The following is a 21,662-nucleotide window of genomic DNA, read 5'->3' as shown; positions in this document are numbered from 1 at the left end:
ATACAATGTTGAATAGAAGTGGTGAGAGTACACATTCTTGTTTTGTTCCTGATTTTAGTGGGAAAGGATCCAGTCATTCACGATTAAATATTAATATGATGTGAGCTGTGGACTTTTCATAAATGCTCAGTATCAGGCTGAGAAAATTCCCTTTTATTCTCAGTCTGTTGAGCACTTTTATCATGAATGAGATTGGACTGTGTCTGATGTATTTTCTGCACTTATTGGTATAGAGGTTATTGATACAGAAGTTAATTCTTGGCTTTAGAGTTTCCAGTGGTAACCTTCCTAGCCCTGGGATAGAAAGTAACTCCTTGGACTATGGAAGAGAAGTCCGAGAGGAGAGGATGATGGCAGACACTATTGAGTTCCCTGGAGAAGAGCTCTCTGCCTGGCCCCCAGCAGAGCCTCGGGGTAGAGGGCAGAACTCCTGGGGAGGGTAGAAAACCAAGAGTGAAGGGCACATGAGCTGTATCCCCTGAATGGCCTGGGAGATGACACGAAAAGAGAATGCCTCTTGCCACCACACCTAAGGTGTGGTATAGGGAGGACCACCCACTGGCCCTAGGAAGCTGGGCTTGATGCAGCCCCCTGAATAGTTTCAACGGAGAAACCAAAGATTTTCACACAGGGCAGAGAGGGGCACTGATGTGTCTTGGAGGATGGTAAGGCTGGAGAGGCCTTGGGATGGGCACATATGTCAGGCTCGGACCACGGGACAGGGACCAAATGGGACTGAAGATGCTTATACAGAAGCCACCCTGGAGGGAAAGCCATGCCCAGGACTAGCCAGGAAGAACACCAGGGTAGGACAGAGCACCTCCCAGGACCCTGAAGCCTCTCCCTAAATCCCAAACCTCCCAGATCTAAAGTCAACCCCAGGGGAAGGTGGAGAAGGAAAAAATCTTGAACTGGGCATTTAACTTGGAATTTCGAAGTTTTACCCTGAAATGGCAAAATTATTTTTTTCTGTCATCAGCTTGAAAAAAATCTCAATTTAGTTAATAAAAAATAAAGAAACTTTCATTTATTTGCTGCAGACCTGAGGATGTGATTTAATCACTCAACAGACACTAATAAGTGCACAGTGAGGAGCACGCACTGGACTCAGCGTGCGGTGAGGAAGGCGCTACCGCTGTCCTCAGGATCCACGGGTGCAGGAGCGGGGAAAAACCTGGTCGGTGCTGAGAGGAGACTGGAGGCACGGGGACGTGTTACTTGAGACTGGAGGGAGTGGCTGAGCCCAGAGCTCACTGGCCCCTCCCCATCCTCAGACAGAGGAGTGAAGCAACGTTTCTCTGGGTGGTTTCTGGCTCCCTGGTGCTCATGGTCAGGACTTCTCAGCTGGACCAAACATTTCTTGGAAAGCTCTTTGATGCCAGCCTAGCAGAGTGGGCATTGGGGATCAGAACCTTGGAGGGCTTGAATCAGTGACTCATGAGGCATCCCAGGCATCAGAAGGGCCACGTCAGTGTCTGCACCATCCTAGCCCACGCTTGCTAATTGATGTCCACTTGGAGGTCCAAAGGCCAAACATCTGCAGCTCTCAGGGCTTCACATGCAGAGATGAGGCCCAGGGAACACTGTAGTCATCCTGTGTTCACCTCCTGGAAACAGCAAACAACCCAGACTCAGAGAAGAAGGCAGGCAAAGAACAGAAACCAGAAAAATCACACCAGGCCACCCCTTCCTCTAACCCCTATGTTTTGCACTTTACAGTTTACAAAAACACTTTTGCACTTGATTCTTGTGGAAGCTGTGCAAAGTAGGTAAGGGAGACCAGTGTGGCCATTTTACAGATGGCTCAGGGGGCACTGCTGCCTGCAAGAGCACAGGGGGCACTGCTGCCTGCAAGAGCACAGGTGGCTGATGGCCTGCGTGAAACTGGAACCCAAGGGGAAGGCCTCCCTAATGTGAAGTTCTTGCCACCACAGAGAAGGAAAAGGGCAACGCCAAGGGAGATGGTGAGACCCAGGAAACAGGAAAAGAAGTGTCACGGGGCCCAGGTGTTCTCACCACAGGGCCAAGATCGTGCACTCCCAGACGCGGATTCCTGCGGAGGGTTTAGTTGACCTCTACTGCCACCAAGTGGTGGTTCTGCAGGGTATCAGCCTTTGGGCGAGGGATATGTATATACACACATATATATGTGTGTGTGTGTATATGTACACACACACACACACACATATGTATTTTTTCCCCTGTAGGGCAGCAGTTCTCAAAGAGGACCCACGAGGTCAAAACCACTTTCATAGAACACTAAGATGTTATCTGCTCTTTTCAATCTTATGTTCTCACAAGCATACGGTGGAGTTTCCCAAAGGCTATAATGCAAGTGATAACCCATAGACTAAAAGCAAAAGCAGACAGAGGAACACAATTGCCCTCTGTTTAAGCCAGACTTCGCCGCAAAAACGGAAAACGCAAGTCTTCTCGTTAATTATATTGGTTTAGAAAGAATCGTTATTTTCATAGAATGTTATTTATGTTAAAATGTCATGGGTTTATTATTATACCTAAATGGATAAATATTTTTGAAATTCTGTTTGAATTTCCAGTAATTGTTGGTAAATATATAAGCAGTTGTTCTTCGAGGTCCTTAATAATTTTCAGGAGTGAAAGGGGCTGCTGTTGAGGACTGCTGCTGTATGGTAATGATTTTTGTTCTTCTTTTCATCTTTCCTGGTAAGGCAAATTGGCCAACCCTGAAGCCCCCCAACTCCAAGGCACAGACACCAAAACTGGTGCTTGGCTTGGAATTCTGTTTTGTTTTCATCCTTCTTAAAAATAGGATTCCATTTGTTTAAAGACTTTCCTGACCATGACAACAGAAATTAATGCCTGATACTAAGCTCCCTGAGGGCAGGGTCCCTGCCATTGTCACCCAATGCCTGTAACAGCACTGGCCACAGTCAGACTACACACACACACACACACTCTCTCTCTCTCTCTCTCTCTCTCTCTCACACACACACACACACACACACACATATATATATTTTATATATATATATATATATATATATATATATATATATATATATATATATTTGGTTAAATAGAACCATAATGTGTTGATGGAGGAAGACTCACAAGCTGTTGGCCCAACTATTCCACAAGATTGCCCTCTCCAGAAAAATCTAAGAGGAAGCAGATCCATTGCTGGCTGACCCCTCCCAGATCTGGCTACCTCATGAGATTTGTTTGGGCTGGAGCTGAGTTTCTTCAATAAAGCCGAGTTTCATTCATTGCAGCCCAGGTGCTCCTGAGTGGGAGTGAAGGTGCAGAAGATGTGCTGAGGCATTGTCTGCCCAGCATGGAGGAGGGCGGGGGGAGGGGGTGTGGCAGGGGCTGTTACTCAGAGCTGGGCTGAGGCTGGGCAGCGAGGAAGAGCCAGCCCGCAGCCTGGAAAACAAGTATCCAGCAGGGAGCCCTAGCTCTGCAATAAGGTGTGCTTTTATTTTAAGAAATTATAAAAACAATATATGTGTGCTGTAAAAAAATTAAAACATTACAATAATCACCATCATCAAATCACCATCATTATAGTGATGTACAAAGAAATCACCAACATCAAATTCGGAACTGAAAGCCTTCTCCCAATCCCACATCCCAGAAATAGCCACTATTAAATTTGGTGTGTATCCTTCAAGGGTTTTTCAATGCCCATATAATTACCCATATACGATATATATTTTAAAATGAAAATGAATAACATCATATATGTTATTCTGCCCCTCCATTTCTGCACTTACAATGTTGCTGACATATTTCCATGACAATATATGTGAGATCTATCTCATTCTTTTTAGTGGCTGTTTGTTCAACCCCCTCTTCTATTGATAGGCATTTAGAAACTTTCTGAATTTTCATTATTACAAACAATTCTCAATTAACATGGTCATGCTTGCATTTTTGCCCATTAATTTATGCTTCCTTTATTCTAAACCCTGTTCATTCTTGCTGCTATGCTGAATCTAAGGATTGGGAAGACTCAGCCCTGGCTCTGAAGGGGGGCACAGGCCAGTGAGAAAGAGAGGGTGCACAGACATGACTGTAGCACAGGGAGGGACACAGTGCCAGAGGGGTCACGTTGGTGGAAGGACCATGGATGCTGCTGGAGGGGAGAGAGAGAGAGAAGCAAGGAAGCCCTAACATCTAAGGGCTTAAAGCATCTGAGCTGGGTCGAAAACAGGGAGCATTCCTGTTCCTGGTGATGCTGGGGGTAAGAGTGTCCTGTAGGTTAAAGAAAAGCATAGAGGCAGGGAAGCCTGGAGGGTGTTGGGCACACAGCAGCTGGCCCAGCAGGCTTGTGGGATCACTTGGGAACCCTTTCAGCAACATTTAAATGCCCATTGTATGCCTGGCACTGGATGGGATGGGGGAAATGATGAGAGCACAGGGAACCTGGACCAGAGCAATGGGAGGTGGGTCCAGAAGGGCAGTTCTGATGTGGTTGATGGGAGGCCTTCAATAGCAGTTTCAGACGCCATACTTATGTGTCCCAACAACTTTGTCTTTTTTACACCGTAAAATAGCCATCATCATGGCTGCTGGCGATGTACCCTGGGCTGGACAGCAGGGAAGTGTAGCCTCAGGAAGATTATCAAATGGGATTGGTGGTAAAGTCCTGAGCTGGGGCTCAGGTATGTTGGAGCCTCAGTTCCTTCATCTGTGAACTGGATCAGCAATGCTTCTCTCTGCATGCCTCCTTCTACCATCAAGAGGTGCCATGATGATTAATAGAAACTAGGAAAAGCTCAGACACCTGAAGAAGGTGGTTGTTGCATCTCAGCCTCATCAGGAGCACCCAGTAGAAGACCCCAGTTGGCCTTGTGGACACAGCACCACTTCTAAACAAACTGTGCAAGCATGCCTCGCACCGGGAAATGGTCCAGTTGAGGCAGACTTAAGAAACACATTCTAGGATGTGTTAGAGCAGAGACTTCAGGTCTACCCAGGGATGAACCAGGTGCCAGAAGCATCTCTTCACTCGCATCCTCCGTGCCCACCCAGACCCAGTGATACTGGGGCAGACAGGCAGGCTGGTCTCTCCCATCAATAGAGCCTCTCCAATGCACCAGAATGACATGCCACTGGAGTCCCTCATGGCTGTCCCCACCACCTAGGTCAGCATCTGCTCAGCAAATGTTTGATGACTGAACAAATGAATGAATGTCCCACTGCTGGAGGGTGGGCAGCTTGAACAGTAACTTGCAGAGATACCCAGGGGACCCTGCAGTCCCAGGGGCTGTGAAGGAGAAATATTGAGGAGGGCATGCTGAGGGTTTTATTTCAAGCATGGAACCCTCCGCTCCAGTAACAGGTTTCACACCGAAGAGACGGAACACTTTCAACTCTTTTGCACCATAGAATTGCTTTGGTCTTCGGTCTATTAAGACAGAGATTTTTCAGAGACATGGCCCAAATCACTCAAAGGCAGGGGGTGGTTGGGGAACAGCGTAGTGGAGAAACCAAGGAAGACCTTTTCAAGAGAAAGAAAAAAGAACAAATTTGAGGACATTTCCTTCACTGGGATTTAAGCCAGGGATGGCAAATAGATTCATTTTGTATGACAGTTCTGCACGGCTGGTGGTGGCTGCCACGGCACTGTGCTGAGAAAGACTCTGAGGCGCCACTCAGCTCATCAAGAAAGGGCTCTATGATTGACTAGGAATGCTTGTTGTGGGCACAGAATTGGAAGAGGCTGCAGGGACACAAGCCACATAACAGCAAAATAGCAATGGCCTCCCCACGCGGCTCTAGTAAGGAATAAAATTTAGAACAATGAAGTCACTCTGGAAGCCAGACTGTGGATCAAGTGTTTTGTTTTGTTTTGTTCTCCATGTAAAAATAAGGCCCAGAGAGTGCCCACCCCAACCAAGCCCAGGGCCAAACTCTCTGAAGCAAGTCACCAACGTGTGCCACTGCTCAGGGTGGGAGAACCCCTAGAAGGTTTCTGTCCCTCATCACCCTGTTCAACCACTACGCCCTCTGCTGCCGACCTTAGGCATCTGGGAAAAAAGAAGCCAGGCTGCCCCGGCTCAGTTTCTCTCCTCACCTGTGTGGAGGGGTTTTCCCTCTGGGCCTGCAACACCCACAGAGGCCTGAACAGAGAGAGAGGAATGACAGTGGCCAGGTGCCTCTTGGAAGCTAGGCAGAGGCATCTGACAGAGAAACAATGTGAAGAGGTTTTTAATGCTTTTATTTTGAAACTTAGAGCCAACTCCAGCTCTTCCATGAATTCACAGTGAGTTTACAATGGCCATGGGGGGAGGGTCTATTTTACTCCAGTTTTGTTTTGTTCTGTTCGTTTGTTTGTTACCAGGTGCAGGTCCAAAGCTGGAATAGTTGGTGATCAGTTGACCAATGGTCAGTTGAATCCCTCCAAGGCAGAAGCTCCGCTGCCCCAGCCGGGGTGGGGATGAGAATGCTTGTAATTGTGAAGGAAGGAAGAGGTTCTGAGGACAGCCTGCCTGGCTGAAAGCCCACCTGGTGGAGAGTCTTTCTCTTCAGTAAATTCACATCATGGGTTCTGCAGACACTTTTAGCATTGACCTGTTAATGGGATGAGACCCTGGGAAAAAGGAGGAAAGACAAGAACATCTTCTAACGGGAGTCTTGAAATCTTGGATCTTGGGGTCAAACAACCCATTTGGAGACTGGGTTTGTGAAGCAGTAAGAGGCAAAGTACAGACTGGCAGAGGCTCTCAGGGTTGCCGGGGCTATTTGAAAATGTTCAGCAAAGGTATCATAAGAGCACTATGTCTTCTTTCCTTGAAAATCAGTTTTCCTGAAACCGAAAGTAGGCTAGTGAGACCTGCAGCATGCATGTCAGGACCGAGGGCAGACCAGCACTATTCCAGGGAGCTCTGGGGGCTGGTCTTGGACAGGTAGGGATGGCAGAGTTGGATTCATGAGCCACAGACAAGTCTGAGAGCCAGCCACTGGTAAGTGGTCGGGATGCCACTTCTACCACCAAAGGTCACTGATCTTCCCGCATGGAACTTGGAAAAGCTGGGGGATATCTCCATGCCTGGTTGTTGGAAGGCACCTGGCAACTGCTGGGAGCTGGGTGATCTATCCCCTGCAGGCTCTTAGAAACAATTCTCAAGTCATCCCTGTCATCTGTACTCAGGAACTCTCGAGATGGTCCCCATCCCGCCACTTCTTAGGGACAGCTTGGCACCCTAGATCTCTAATATACATCATCTCACTCTGTCCTGGGTCTAGACAATGAGGGAGGCATTCAAAGAGTAGGTGTGACTGCTGCCTGAGCATGGGCTTCCCCAAATCTCAGAGCTACTTGGTAAATTAAAATCCAGTCTTGTTAAAAGGCCTTGGTATTTGGGGGTTAGAGCAGGAAGTTGAATGCCATGGGCAAGACTTGTTTAAGATGAATCTGCAGACCAGTGGCTGGGAACCTCCCTCTCCCACCAGGAGGCAATAGCCTCCTCCCTGCCTTAGCAGTCCTCCCTCCTAAGGGAGACAGACATCTATGCCCCTTGCAAGAAAGAGCGCTTCCAGAAAGAAAAGCTTCCAATTGGGTTGGTCACTGCTTGTGAAAGGCTAAATGCAGGACAATCGTGATTGGGTAGCTAGAAATTTCCTCCTTTGTCCTGAAGCAGTTAATCACCAGGGTGGTCACAGTGGCAGGTACGACAGGTTGGGCAGGCATCCAGCCACTCTGGGATCTGGGAGGTCTTGGCATTAAAACCATCTTGTAGCTGAAGATTTCATGACATGGGAAAATGGTCCCAAACTACTAAATGGGAAAAGAGGGCTGTAAAACACTGTGTAGAATAGGATCCCAATTTGAAAATACACATAAGACATACTTGGAAGAATAACAACAAGGTCTTGTGATGACAGGTCTTATTATTTTGTTCTTTCTGTTTATTTAAATTTTCTATTTTTGTCTACAATAAAAATGCCTGGCTTTTGTTATAGGATTTTTAAGAAATTACTTTTCTCTGTTAAAAGGGGGAAATGGCCAATATCTGAGCACAGCTTTAAGAATAAGATGAATTCCTTCCCTATCCTGGATGCCACCCAAATGCAGTAATTCTTCACTCAAGATGTTTAATTATGTAAACTGTGTTGCTACCCTTTTCCTTTTATAAGAAAGGGCAAATAGCCAGAGAAGCTGTGAATGTTGCCACTTTAGCAAAAAGTGGAGAGCATTTTATTTGAAGCCAGCTTCTGGGGCTTGTCCTGGGCTGACTACAGTCTGCCTGATTGGTCAGGCCCCCTCCCTTTGTCCAGGTTCTGGCACCACCCGTGCACCCTGGCAGGGCTCTGCCGTCCCGAGAATGCCCCTGCCAGCTCACGGGGGAGGCAGCAGTGAGGTTTTATAGACAAAGATCATCCTTCCCAGGAGAATTTGTGCTAACCAAGACTGATGTCAAATGGCTTCTTGGTTGACTAGAAAGTTCAGTCCACACTTACTTTGTCTTCTGAGCTTTGCAGGTAGCCGGTATGGGGCCAGACAATGAGGAAGAAAAAACACAGGGAGGAAGAGGAGGCCTGAGGGCATATGGGGGTTGGTCATCCACCCATCCGATGACACTGCTGAGTGGCCCTTTGTGTGCTGGGCTCTGTGCCAGGCACCATTAGTGCAAAGGTAGGGACAGCGCAGCAGCCCCACCTGGGGAGTGAGGGTGTCCTCTGGCATTTAGGATGCAGTGTGGGTGGGGGTGGGGGATGGTCTGCAGAAGGCGCGACTCACCCTAGCTGAGAAAGCAAGCCGGCATCCTGGAGGAGGAGACTTCTACAGCCTGGATGGCAAAGAGCTGGTGAAGCCAAGGACAAGTAGGAAAGGAGCGAGAAGAGGATGTCAGGCAGAGGGGACAGCCTGAGCAAAGACCTAGGGGTGAGAGAGACGGCGGGACATTCAGAACAGTGGTGAGGAGTGAGGCTGGCGGAAGCAGGGTGAAGGCTTTATCTAGAGGGCAATGGGGAGCCAAGGAGGGCATGTGAGCACAGGAGTCAGACTGCTGTCTTTAGAAGAGTCCTCAGGCTACAGTGATCTTTCTGCAATGAGAAAGAAAAAGAGGGTATGGGAGGCAAAGAATGGTGGCAGAGACCTGTCCTCTAGGGCTCTGGCAGCCTGTGGGTGGCTCTCAGAGTCAGGCTGTGCAGTTCAGTAGGGAGGTGGGGAGACGGTGCCCCCTGCAGGTACCCTGGTTGCAGTCCTCACTTGTGAGCCTGGGTCACTTGCATCTGCACAGTGAAGGTAAAAGTACTTCTCTGAAAGGGCTGTTGAAGCTGCTGGAAGGGGAAACGGAGAGGCGAGCTGTCTGGAAACAGGTATATTCTGTGCCAGACTTGGTCCCTGGGGACCCAGCACACCACCAGTCACTGGTGGGCATTTCTGAACTGCTGTTTGGTGACGAAAAGGGTGGCAGCCCCAGCCTACCACAGATTAGATATGTGACAAACAACAGGACATTTCAGAAGGCCACAACATTCTCATGATAAAAAAAAAAAAAAGTTTCAAGTTCCTGGGAGGCACAATTGGCCAGGATGGAAGCACACTGACCTGGCGCTTATGGGCTCGTCACTGCGTGGTCCCCGCGGATAGCCTGCAGCGACAGCTCGTACCCAAGGAACATGGCCGCACTCATGGGGAAGCCCCGCACCGCGTTCACAGTGATGCCTCTGAAAAACACCTTTGCACAGGGGCCAGGTTATTGCAGGGGACTGACCCACACTCTCTGCAGGGCCACCAAGGAGGGGCAGAGAATAGCTAGTGGTGCTGCCTACCCAGGCCCGGTCCCCCACCAGAGCCCAAAGGACCTGTGCAGGCAGAGACCACACAGGGAAGTCCCAGTCATGCCCTGCCCTGACCCGCGTCATGCCTGGTGGTGCTTTTCCTCCCAGACCCTGATACACATGCACTAAATACTATAGGTAAGCTGTTGGGCCAGGCAAACACCTACATATGCTTTTTAAATTGCCCTCTCTCTCCCTCTCTTTCTTCTTCTCTCACATGTACACACACACACACACACACACACACACACACTCTCTCTCTCTCTCTCTCTCTCTCTCTCCTCGGGAATCTAGAAGCCCTGAGTAGACAGAGCACCCAGCCATGCCCAATCCCTGTAGCAGGGGCTTCACAGGACATCCCAAAAGTGGCAGAGAACAGAACTCGAGCTGTGCTTAAGACTCTGCAGACATGGGGTTGAGGCACGGCTTTGCCATTGAGTCACTTGGGCCAATGGCAAACTCTCTAGAACTCAATTTTCCCGACTGTAAGGGGCGGGTAATAATAGAATTGACCTGATAAGAATGTTGGAGGGACTAAATGAGATGAGGCTTTTCAGGCACTTGCACGGTGCCTGGCATACAGTACAAGCATGTATTAACTGCTGATTATCATCATCACCCTCCTTGTTCTTATCAATAGTCTATCACCTAATAGGGAGTAGGACTCAACCTCCATCACTAGGATGCATGCTCAGGAAGAATGGCCTGTGCTGATGAGCTGATGAACTCCGCCTTTGCTACTCCATGACACCTGTATTTGTCTTCCATCCCTAGGGAGTATTATGTGATGCTTCCCAAACACTGCCTATGATCTTCCTTTCCTCCCTCAATCTTCTTGCTTGGTGTTGTGTGTCGGCTCATAAATGTGATGGGATTCCAACTCTCAAGCAGTTATAACCCATTAGCAGAGACAAGGCCCCTTCAGGAACAATGACAACATGACCCAGAAAATGATGAGAGCAGATAAAAGCTTTGGAGAGGGGGATTGTGGGGAGGAGCTGGCCTTTAATGCATCCTCTGGTAAGAAACGACCACCTAAAAGCAAGTTCCCACACAAACGTAAATGACTTGAGAACTGTCAGGCACAGATAGAAACCTACTCTGATTCCTGTATAATTTTCTAAGTTTAAGAAACAGAAGTGGTCATTTTGTAAAGGTAGAAACCAACCCTTTTCATTTCCCCAGTTTCCTCAGTCTCTGGGCACTGTGGTATCAGAGTTGGTGCAGGCCTCTGTCACTGGCTAGGATATCAGGTGGCCTTCCTTCAGGAGAGGTGCCAGCACCTCACAGCAGCCTCCAGGGTGCAACATGTCCCTGGGAAAGGGGCTGATGGACAAGGATCCCTAGAGATGAACAAGTGGCTCAGCCAAGCCCTCGAGCTGTTCAGTCAGGGTGTAAGTGAGATCCTGGTAATATTAACACTCTTCTCTAATGTCTAACCTTTCTGGAATTCCACAGGCTCATCCAGAGTGACTGAATAACAGCCAGGAACTGGGTCAAACTCTGAGAGGAAAATTCCATGCCGGTGCCCACAGAGGTTCCCCTGTGGGTCTGGGCTTGGCTCTGCTCTGCAAGGCGGAGGCAGCCAGGGCCCAGCTTGGAGTGTGAGCCTTCTGTCCCACAGCCCCGGGCCCTGCAGGAGCTGTGGGCCACTTCAGACCAGCAGACAGCTCACCCTCCAGCAGCTGTGGCCTGCTCTGCTGCAGAGCCCACAGAAGGCAAACAAAATGCAGACCTGCCAGCTTTTACCCAGAGCTTTCAGAGCATATGACCTCCAGACCGAGTCCCCCCTCACTCCCACCCTACAAAGCCTCAATGTCTCCCTATGGCCTAGGGTCACTCTTTCCTGGCTTGCAACGACCCACATGCTCTCCCTTGCACTTTCTCTGGACGGCCTCTCACAGCTGACACTCTGGGAAGGTTAACAGCCTGTCATTCCCTTAAGGGGCCAGCCTTTTTCCTCCACTGGGCCTCTTCTGGTCCCCTCTGCCTGGAGTGCTTCCCAGGCCTGGCTTGCAGCCTGGCAGTGTCCCCATGGCCACCCCCAGGTGGATGATGGCCCCTCACCTTCTGTGCACTTGGTATCTCCCCATCACAGCACTCCTCACACTGTTCTCCAAGTGTCACTGACTTATCTGTCAGGAAGGACAGATAACAGAGGTGGGGGTGGGATTAGCAATCACAATCAGGGCAGTGAATGCAGGGCTGTGTGGATGGTTTGCCTCTGAGACCCCAGCACCTGCGAGCGCTTCGCCCAGAGTAGACCTTCCATAAACACATTAATTGAATCAGTGAATGGATGGATGGATGAGTAAATGAATGAATGAATAAATGAATTTTGGACGTGACAAAGGAAGAGCGTCTGAACTGAAAGAGTCCTGGTGCCTGCAGTTCAGGTTTCCTGGAGTGACAGGAAGGCTCCAGATTCCCCAGGGACAGCAACCCAGGGCAGCTGGCCCTGGTGCCTCCAGAAGCTGTCTACCTACAAATGCCCCCTCTGTCTGCCATTCAGCCTCATCTCACTGCCACAGCCCCTCCACAGCAGCTGCTTCCTTGGAGCCAAGATTACCAAGGTGCTCACCAGCCTGGTTATTTCAGATGGCAACTCTCCAAGTCAGAGCTATGGTCCATGTAGCCCAAGACGACCCTAACAGTGGGCAGAGAATGGCTCCAAAACTACCAGACTTTCCTTCTGTTTCTACTTGGGGATGCCTCGACAAGTCCATGGACTTTTGATTTTCCCCACCACAAAGGCTGCACCACTGATCATTCCTAAGTTGGTTACAAAGAGCTACTCAAATTGGTCACCATCGTCATTATTAATGCCTTTCTAACTCTTTCCTGTCACAAACTTCTTCCTCCATAGCAAGGTGAGAACAGATTGGAATGATGATGGGCTTTGGGCCTTGCACTCTATCTCTGCGAGCCACAGTCAAGAATGCTTGGGGAGGGGTGCTCCATTCAGCCAGAGCCCAAGCCAACTGGGAACTGGAGCCACCCCTGGGGCACTGGAGGAATCCTCTCTACCTTCTCCTGCTGCGGCTGCCAGAAAACTGCCTTTGAGACAACCTGATTGTTTTAGATGGTGTGATTATTTTTGTTTATGTTACTATTTATGTTCATAAGTAAACAGTCACATATACAAGCATACATAGATATGTACATACACATATATTCTTTTATACACTGTAAATGTTTTTGAAATGTATCACAAGAAACTTTACGGTAATTGCCTTTGAGCGAGGACAGGGACCACAGGCAGGGCATCGAGATAGTATATCCTCATGTAGTTTTGGAAGCTTCCTATGTTCATACATTACCAATTTTTGACTGATTAATACAAATTTTAAACAATTAACCTTGAACCGTCTGATCATGCAGTGGTTACTCAAGCTGAGTATTATTATCTTGACTTAAAACCTGTCTCTGAACCAACAGTGAGGACCAAACGCTATCGAGATTAAGAAACCAATCGTCTGACCTCAGCTGACTTCCAGGACTTCATTTTTTTAAAAGAGCACAGTAATTTTCAGAGGAAATAATATCAGCAATATATTTTGCCTCTACAGACTTTTTACGAATTATGACACATTAATATTTGGGGAAGTAGACAAAAACATCTCAAATAAAAATGAATCATCCACTTGAAACACTTTTATATCCCTCTATACTCATTGGCTGAATCACAAACTGTATTTCTGCTAAAAAAAAAAAAAAAAAAAAAAAAAAAAAAGAAGAAGAAAAAAAAGATACAAAAGACAATTGAGGCCGCACCAGGGCTGGGCTTCACCCTTCTGTCAGAGCAGCTCTTGTTAAAAATTTAAAAAAGGAATTTAAAATAATGAGAATAGGAAAGCTTTGAGTTTCTCCATCCTTAAAACATAAAGACAGAACTCAAGTTTCCTCCGTATCACATCTTCTTATACTAACCAGGGTCCAGCTTCTCCTCACATGCTATGATATCCTGCTCTTCATTCCCAGGGCACCACTAGGGTCTTGCTTAATGGGTAGTGACCAAAGGTGGATGCAACATTCCAGCTGCAATCTGGTCAGGGCAGAGGCCTCCACCTCCCTTATTCTACCCACTGTACTTCTATTAATGCAACCTTAGGACAGGTCTCACTGTTCGCTCACTGCCAACATTAGCTGATCAGAGAATGGGCTTTTTCTCTTTTGCTTACTGCTCTGTCCCCAGCTCCTAGAACTGTGCCTACCACATACTAGGTGCTCTAAAAATAAGCATTTGAAAACTAAAGCCCTTAGGCATTTTTCCCTAGAAGCCTTCATCAAATCGGATTGCCCCATCCTCTACAGAGATGATTGATCCATGATTGAATACTAAGGGCTGGACTTTACAGTGACTTCTGGTAGTTCTGTCTTTTAGTGTGGCCCTTTGATCTAGCTTTTGGATCTTGTCCCTCTCATGTGGCATGTTAGTTATTTACCTCAACACTGGGTCATCCAACTCTGGATCTTTCCCAAGTTGGGGGAGAGAGTAAAACAGGACGTCAGAAAACTTGCTGTAAGAGGCAGAGAAGGGGCAGTATAGAAATAGCTGTTGCCCGTGGTGGTGTGTGAGAAGCCCCTTGAGAGAGGTACAGGAGAAGCAAGCCAAGGACATGGATCCTGGGAATGGCAGCGGACTGCACTGGGCCTGGAAGGATGGGGCAGATTCATCTGGCAGGGCCTGGGGTGGGGCAGCCATGTGAGAAAAGACTCAGAGCTCCAGGGTAATACCGGTGCTAAAAAAATCAACACTGATAATACTAATGCAAATGAGAAATGGTTAACTCTTCCCTATGGGTTACATATTGAATGGAGTGCTTTTTGTATTAACCCACAAATGCCCCGCCCTTCATGGAAGGGATGATCATTCTGGGAGAAACTGAGGCCCTGAGACATGAAGCTGCTTGCTTGGATCCTGCCAGCTCACAGTAGCTACATCTGACTTTGAACCCATGTCTGCTGACTCTAAGAGCCACACCAAGAAAGCAAGGAGCCCGTGCAAGCAAGAGCCAGCAGGATAGTTCCTGCGGAGGGTGATGAATCTGTGTATTACCTTGGACACCAGACATGGAAGTCTGGTCTATCCTGGGGCAGCACCTTTTCAGGTGGTGGGAAGGGGTGTGTGTTAAGTTAAGCTCTTGAGCTGTAGGAAGAACAGAGGAGACACAGCCCAGGGAAACGTGTTGGAGGCTGCCTCCTCAGCCACGACCAGAGGTCTGGGGTCAGGGCTCAGGTGGGAGAGCAGAAGGCAGTTCACAGGGCCTGGAGCTGGTGAGATGAGCTGACTGAGGACAGGAAGGAGGCAAGGCAGCTCTGGCACTTCCCACTGGGAGGAGGAGTGGGGAAGGCACTGAGCCATGAGTGAGGAAGGGCTGCCCAACCTATCTTGATGAGAAGGCAAAATGCGGAGACAGACAGAAATGGACCAGGCCCAGGCGCCACCATGGACCAGCTGTGTGGCTGCGGCAGGTTACCAGCCCTCTCTGAACCTCTGTCAGGTCACATACCTATCTCCTCCACTGGCCATGTGAAAAGACCACCCAGGTGAAGTGCTTGACAAAGCACCCACTTGTGGCACCTGATACATAATCACCAGCAGCCCCCTGGTCTCCTGATTCCCTTCTCTATAGTCCCACATCCCCCTAAATGTGTGAACCACCTTCCAGGGACTGACACTGACCCCGCAGGCCTGCTGTGGGCTTACTTTAAGACCTTCCTTCTGGTAACTCTGGGAGATACAGTCCAGGACACCTTTATATTTGTTTAAATAAACCCCATCAGCTTGGAGTCGACTTTTCACGACATCCATAGGAGTCGCTGTCCCCCAAGAAATTGCTCCTGCAAAGAGAAAGAAACAGGTGTCAGGGGCTAGCTCCTTAGGATCTGGAGGGGCCTGGTTCCTTGCAGATTTCTACCATTTAGAGATTCATTAAGCTGGGAGAAGGGACAGAGCTCAGGCTTAGAACCTGCAAAGTTTGTTTCTGATTCTCCCTCGCCACTTGCTGTGAGACTTGGCAGAAGTTTCCTCCCTTCTCTAAGCCTTGGGCTTCTCATCTGTAAAATGGGATGGCAGTACCTATCTTTATGGGGCTGTTTTGAGGACCAAATGAATTGATGAACGTGAAGCATTGAGCAAGTGCCAGTCCACAGCCAGTGCTCGAGACGTGGCAGTATTTATTAGCAGTTTTTATTGGAGAAAGAGTAACAGGCTCCACAGGTACTTGGGAGCACCTTCCCAGGGCACCAGAAGAGAGCCCAGGGTGAGGCATGAGGCTGAAGGTTTGCAGCTCACTGAGGGCAGGATTTACTCTAAACACAGAGAAGCTAAACAAACACAGGCAGACAGGCTGCTCACAAAGGAAGGGCCAGCCTGGGGGTTGCAAAAAGAGAGCAGGGACAGCTTTTTGAAAAATCTCTTTTCTTTTTCAAGTATGTGGAATAGAAGCCTTGGGATCACATGCCACTAGGTCATCCTCATGGGATATGCTCAGGTAAGGAACTCTAGGAAAACAATGCCAGGTTATTATAGAAACACAGAAATTGGTACATTCCTAGATGGGGAGAGAAAAACAAATTGATGTTAAAGTCCAGGGCAACTGGTTTGCATGGTTTTGTAATTGCTGCGCAGTAGCTCTCAAAAGAGACCTTAGACTGCCCTTGGCCCTCAGCCTATCCTGGCCTCTGGTCCCCTCAGCCTCCTGCCCTTGGTCCTCCAGGAGCCTCTCTAAACCTGTGCCTTCTGCCAGGACAATGGGGCCACTTCCCCAGGTGCTGCCCTGGTGCACTCCCTTGCCCCTCAGCCCATGGGTGAGGGCATCACAAAACGGGATTTGCCTGCCAGGCCATTCACACCTGCTCTCTGCAAAAGTGAGAGCAAATGGGGCCTTGCCGTCCTCTCTGCCAGTCGGTACTGACTGAGCTCTTACTAGGAGCTGGGCATGAGCACAGGCACCTGGGGGCCAGAACGTGAAACTGTAGTTAGGTGGCTAAGACATGAGCTTCGTTATATGTCTGCTATGAGCTGACAGCATGGCAAACTGTGATGATGAGGAGGAGAAAGAGAGGGAGGAGGAGCAGGAGGAGGAGGATGATTCATGATTTTCTTCTTTCTGTTAGATCTTTCCCATCACATCAAACATGTCATGATGTCAGCCTTCTTAAAAAGTATCCTCTCTTGGCTTCCAAAGGCCCTTCTGGCTATGGCTCTGTTTCTCTGTTCCTCATTACAGCATAGCAGAACCCTCAGAAGAGTTGTGTATACTTGGGTGCACCAATATCCTTCATCCCATTCTTTCTTTATCCCACTTCATCAGGTTTTTACACCCTTCTCTCCATCAAATGGCCCTTGCCAAAATCCCCAGTGGTCTCCACGTTGTTAAATTCAGGAGGTGGTGAGTAGCAGGTACAAAGGCCCTGTGGTCAGGGAAGGGCCAGGCATGGTCAAGTTGCAGCAGAGACCAGTGTGACTGGAGAAAGTGAGGAAGGGGAGAGGAGTAGAAGTGAGGTGGGTGGGGAACAGGGAGCTAGATCACTGAGGGCCTGGAAAACCATTGCAAAGATATCAACTTTTACCTTAAATGAAAGAAGGATGTGGTGCAGGATTCTGAGCAGGGAGGTTAAGCAACAAGTCCATGGTCACAAAATGATGAAGTGTGGATTTGAACTTAAATCTTTCTGACTGCAGAGTCCTGCTATACTGTCAGCTCCAGCTGTATGACCTGGGATTGGCTACTTAACATTTCTGGACCTGAGTTTTCTCATCTGTGAAATGGGGAAACCGATTCCTACCTTGTAGAACTAATGGCATCCTTACATTACAAAGATTGCATTTAATAAACTGAACCATGATAATGGATTTCCTTTCCAAAGCTTAGTAATGCCTGACACAGAGTATGTGTTCAAAATATATCTGTTGCCTGAAAGTCAAATGGGAACTGCCATTCTCATAGCTGCATAGGGAAGGGATGAGACTGAGGTGGGAGAGGGCCGGGGACAGAGTAGGTACCTAACAAAGAATTGTTGGGTGAGTACCTAAATGTGTCCTGCCCTCCCCCTGGGCTGAGAAGGGCATGGCAGTTCCCCAGCTGTCCCACTGCTGTGGCCTGCACAGGGGTGCGGCTCCAGCTGCTGCTGCCCTTACCTGCCATGCCGCCCGCCAGCCACACGGCACAGGGGCTGGGGCCTGTGCAGGCCTCAGGTGTGATCCACTCACTCAGGAACACGTAGGGGATGAAGTAGAGGCAATAGCCTGGGACATCCCTCAGCAGCATGGCACTGGCCCCCCGGTATAGCCCCGCCAGGCCCTCATTCCTCACAATGGTTGTAATGCAGTGCACTGGCCCCTGGTATGCTGGCTGCTCCGCAGGAGCCACTGCCCTGGACTTCAAACCGAGGTTGGCTGCAAAGACAGGGGAGAGAAGGTGGCAAGTGACCCAGGGTGTAAGAGACTGGACATTCCGTGACACTGGAGCCAGCCCAGCCCTTTGACAGTTCCCTCTCATGTAGCCCATCAGCTTTTACCAAATCTGACCTTCTTGGCAGCTCAAACCAGGATACTGAGGTCCCAACAAGAGCCCCTGCCAATATACACAGCCAGACTGGGGACGATCTCAGCCACGTGATAGAACACCAGTTACTTTAGGTCAATACCACTACTTCTTTCGAAGCAAATGTGACTTCAGAATGTCTAGAATCAATTATGACAAGCCACACTAAGCTCTTCTTTGAAGCTAGAAAATCCAACATGCTGTGTGTGTGTGTGTGTGTGTGTGTGTGTGTGTGTGTGTGTGTGTGTGTGTCTGTGTACACATTTATTTATGCACAGTGTGGCGGAGCAAAATGTATATGAGATTTGGAGCCAGACTGTCCTGGCTGCAAATCCTAGCTCTACCGCTTATTGAAAATAATTTATAAATTATACATAAAATTTAAAATCTATAATTTAATATTTATAATTTTATAAAAATAAAATAAATAATTTTATTAAAATTATTTGGAAATAATTCGAAATTTACCTTGGCAAGGCAGCATTTTCAGCCCATTTCCTTATGTTAAAAGAGGGGGAGCTTGTCATGAGTGCAAATAAGGTAATACATGTACAGTGTTCAGCATGGTGATTTGAACATTGTAGGGGCTTAAAACGTTATCAACTGAGACCAAGGTTGCTGACATGAATTGGTGGCAGGACCCACAGGTTGGAGAGCTGGGTATATTCTCAGTGACTCACTCCAGCCCTGGCCAGGCTGTGCCCTAAACAGTTGTAGGGCAGCACTGGGGCTCTTGGCCCCTCAAAGTCCTGGGACCCAGGGCTGCTATCTTCTTGTCTAACCTCAGTAGTCTATGCTGGCAGCTCAGGGGTTGTTTGTCTCCAGCTTCTTCTAGGGGTGCACATAGCCAGCTGAGACTCTGCCTCTCTCTCATTTGCTACCCATCTCCCACTCTGATGCTTGTCTTCTCTGCTACGGACCCTTCTCTGCTATGGATCCTTCTCTACTATGAGGCTTTGACTCATGACCAGACAGAACTTCCAGACCCAGTGCAGATAAAGTAGGCTCTTGTTCTTGACTTTCCCTTCTCCAGGAAATAACATAATGTGACATGACCAGGAAAGAAATAGAATAAAGTGTGTCTGCGACCACAAGCCTATTTTGCCACCTGAGTTTAATTCTCTGTACAGTGTTCCAATCTGATTTTACACATGCTGGTAAACAGGCAGACAGCTTTCATCATATAGGTCAATGTCCAAGTCCCCCAAACAGTCCATCTTTATCAGAGGAAAGGTTAGAAGCATTCGGCTTCATGACTCCACAGTCTAGAGATTGGAGAATAAAGTGTAATCTGTACTTTAACTCATCCCAGAAGCAGGTGAGGTTGAGGGGGTGGTTTCTGCGTGCCTGGGAAGTATGCTTGAACAAACCCATGCTGTATTTTCCATCTTCCAGTGGGGAAGGGAGTAAACCCCTGCCATATCCATTAGGCCAACTTCAGTGTGGACAGGAGATGGAGCCAACTTCTTCCACAGTGGATCCCATAGGAGGTGAGCCGGGGTAGTAGCCACCTTTGGGGGCACAAGACCCCTCTGAGCAAGATCAGACATGATGGCCTTTGAAAGCCCACTGAGAGATCACTAGGCACCCCTTCCTCTTCCAGACCCATGGTGCTACTGCCTGGTTCATCTGGAGAAATTCTGCCGTTAGACAGAATAGATGTCATTGTCCCAATGTATAAATTTTGCCTGAACTGCTTTCATCTCCAGGCAAAACTGACTTGACCCAGGAGTCAAGGTTTTCATGAAGCAACTATGGGTAAATAGTGGCTTTCAGGAGTTACTGACTGAGGGAGAGGATCTTGATAACATTCTGCTTGTTTGAAAGTACAGATGGGAAAACACCCACCAAACCTCCAACTGGCCTTGTCAACAAAAATCCTGTACTGTTTTCCTTTTCCCTGCGGAGTAAGCAATAAGGAAATTCTCTCTCATTCTCCCAGGTTTGCCACATAACCAATCTAGCTTTTATTGCTTTGGAATTACCCATTTATGGCTGTTAGTGCAGTATAATTATCATGGTGACTCCCATCACCAGGATACTGACACAGCTCCAAACTGACCCAAGTTTATACTGTGAAGCTCTTGGAATTCTTTCTAGCTCCTTCATTCACAATATTTTTTTTTGAAAAAACTTTTTATTTGGAAATAATTCTAAATTTGCAAAAGAAGTATAAAAAGCAAAATAGTATAAAGAATGCCCATACATACAATTTACCCAGATTTATCTATTGCTAACAATAAGCAAATAAGCTCATTTGCTTATTGTTTGTGGGTTCTCTCTCCCACTCTCTTCACTTCCCTCCCTTCTCACTCGTGTGTGTTCAATTCAACTGAATCGATATAATTGTCCCAGTGTCTAAACTTTGCCTAAGCCCCATTCATTTCCAGGTAAGAGTGACCTGACCAGGAGTCAAGGTTTTCATGAATCAGCTATGGGTATGATGTGGCTTTCAGGAGTTATTGATTGAAAGAGGGGATTCTGGTAACATTGTGTCTGCTTGGAGGTGCAGATGTTGCAAAAACACCTGTCAAACCTTGAACTGACTTTGGCAACAAGACCCAAACTTATCCTTTTTCTTCTTTTCTTCCCAAGGTAAGCAATAGGGAATGTGTGTGTGTGTGTGTGTGTGTGTATGTGTGTGTGTGTGTATACACATAGATGTATTTTTACACATTCATACATAACTTCATTTTCTAAACTATTTCTGGGTGAGTTACATACTTGAAGAGTCTTTACCCCTAAATATGTTGAAAAATATTTCCTAAGAATGGAGATATTGTCTTATATAACTATAGCACAATTACCAGTTTCATATAGCTACTTTGACAATACTTTAATCTACCATCTATGATCAAATTGTCATTTGATCTTCATGCATGCCCTTTATAGCATTTTCCCCTCCAGGACAGGATCCAGTGCTTCAATCTGGAACATTTCCATAGCCTTTCTTTGTTTCTTGTGACACTGACATTTTTTAAGAGTACACAACCCCTCTGCTTGTTAATAGAGCTTTCCTGATTCGGGGTTTGTCTGACATTTCCTTATTACATTGTGGTCATGCATTCTTGGCTGGACCTCCTCCCCATTCTTAAGTCTCATTCTCAAAAGCCCCTGTTCTCCTCCTCTGGCCTCTTATTTTTGTTTTTTGTCAGTTTGTCTTTTAATTGAACTATACTTTGTATTCAATAAAAGGTAAAGCTTTCAAGTGCACGATTGATGAGTTTTTACAATTGCATTCACCTATGTCATCACACTCTACAATGGAAGTGACTTCTCATATTTGAAATAAACTGTTTTGTTTACAGCCCAGTTAGGGAGAGCAGTGATTCCACA

General features: G+C 47.6%; 1 protein-coding gene across 19 annotated transcripts in view, besides 1 other annotated feature; it reads right to left on the bottom strand.

Moving 5' to 3' along the window:
* Positions 1-1,001: 1,001 nt before the first annotated feature.
* Positions 1,002-21,662, bottom strand: part of SLC25A48 (solute carrier family 25 member 48) — a 309,466-nt gene continuing 288,805 nt past the window's right edge. For 2 of the 19 annotated variants that reach the window (NM_001349335.2, NM_001349336.2), the window contains 4 exons: positions 17,921-18,178; positions 15,485-15,618; positions 9,542-9,671; positions 1,002-1,607 (listed from right to left, as the gene is read on the bottom strand). In NM_001349335.2, coding sequence (NP_001336264.1) covers positions 9,549-9,671; positions 15,485-15,618; positions 17,921-18,178 — 515 coding nt within the window. In that variant the 3' untranslated portion in view covers positions 1,002-1,607; positions 9,542-9,548. Of the gene's footprint in view, positions 1,608-6,188; positions 6,794-8,728; positions 9,034-9,541; positions 9,672-13,477; positions 15,619-17,920; positions 18,179-21,662 lie in introns of those variants that run through there. The other 17 variants (NM_001349345.2, XM_017009091.2, XM_047416804.1 and 14 more) reach the window with 15 other exon arrangements.
* Positions 11,580-12,081: an enhancer, noted in NCBI's record as "H3K4me1 hESC enhancer chr5:135213247-135213748 (GRCh37/hg19 assembly coordinates)". NCBI's record gives its function as "activates a minimal SCP1, AML or CMV promoter by ChIP-STARR-seq in naive H9 embryonic stem cells {active_cell/tissue: H9 hESC(naive)}" and the evidence as "EXISTENCE:reporter gene assay evidence [ECO:0000049][PMID:30033119]".

This window comes from Homo sapiens, chromosome 5 (assembly GCF_000001405.40).
Source record: "Homo sapiens chromosome 5, GRCh38.p14 Primary Assembly".
Classification (NCBI taxonomy): domain Eukaryota; kingdom Metazoa; phylum Chordata; class Mammalia; order Primates; family Hominidae; genus Homo; species Homo sapiens.
This window is presented reverse-complemented; position numbering and strand designations above follow the sequence as displayed.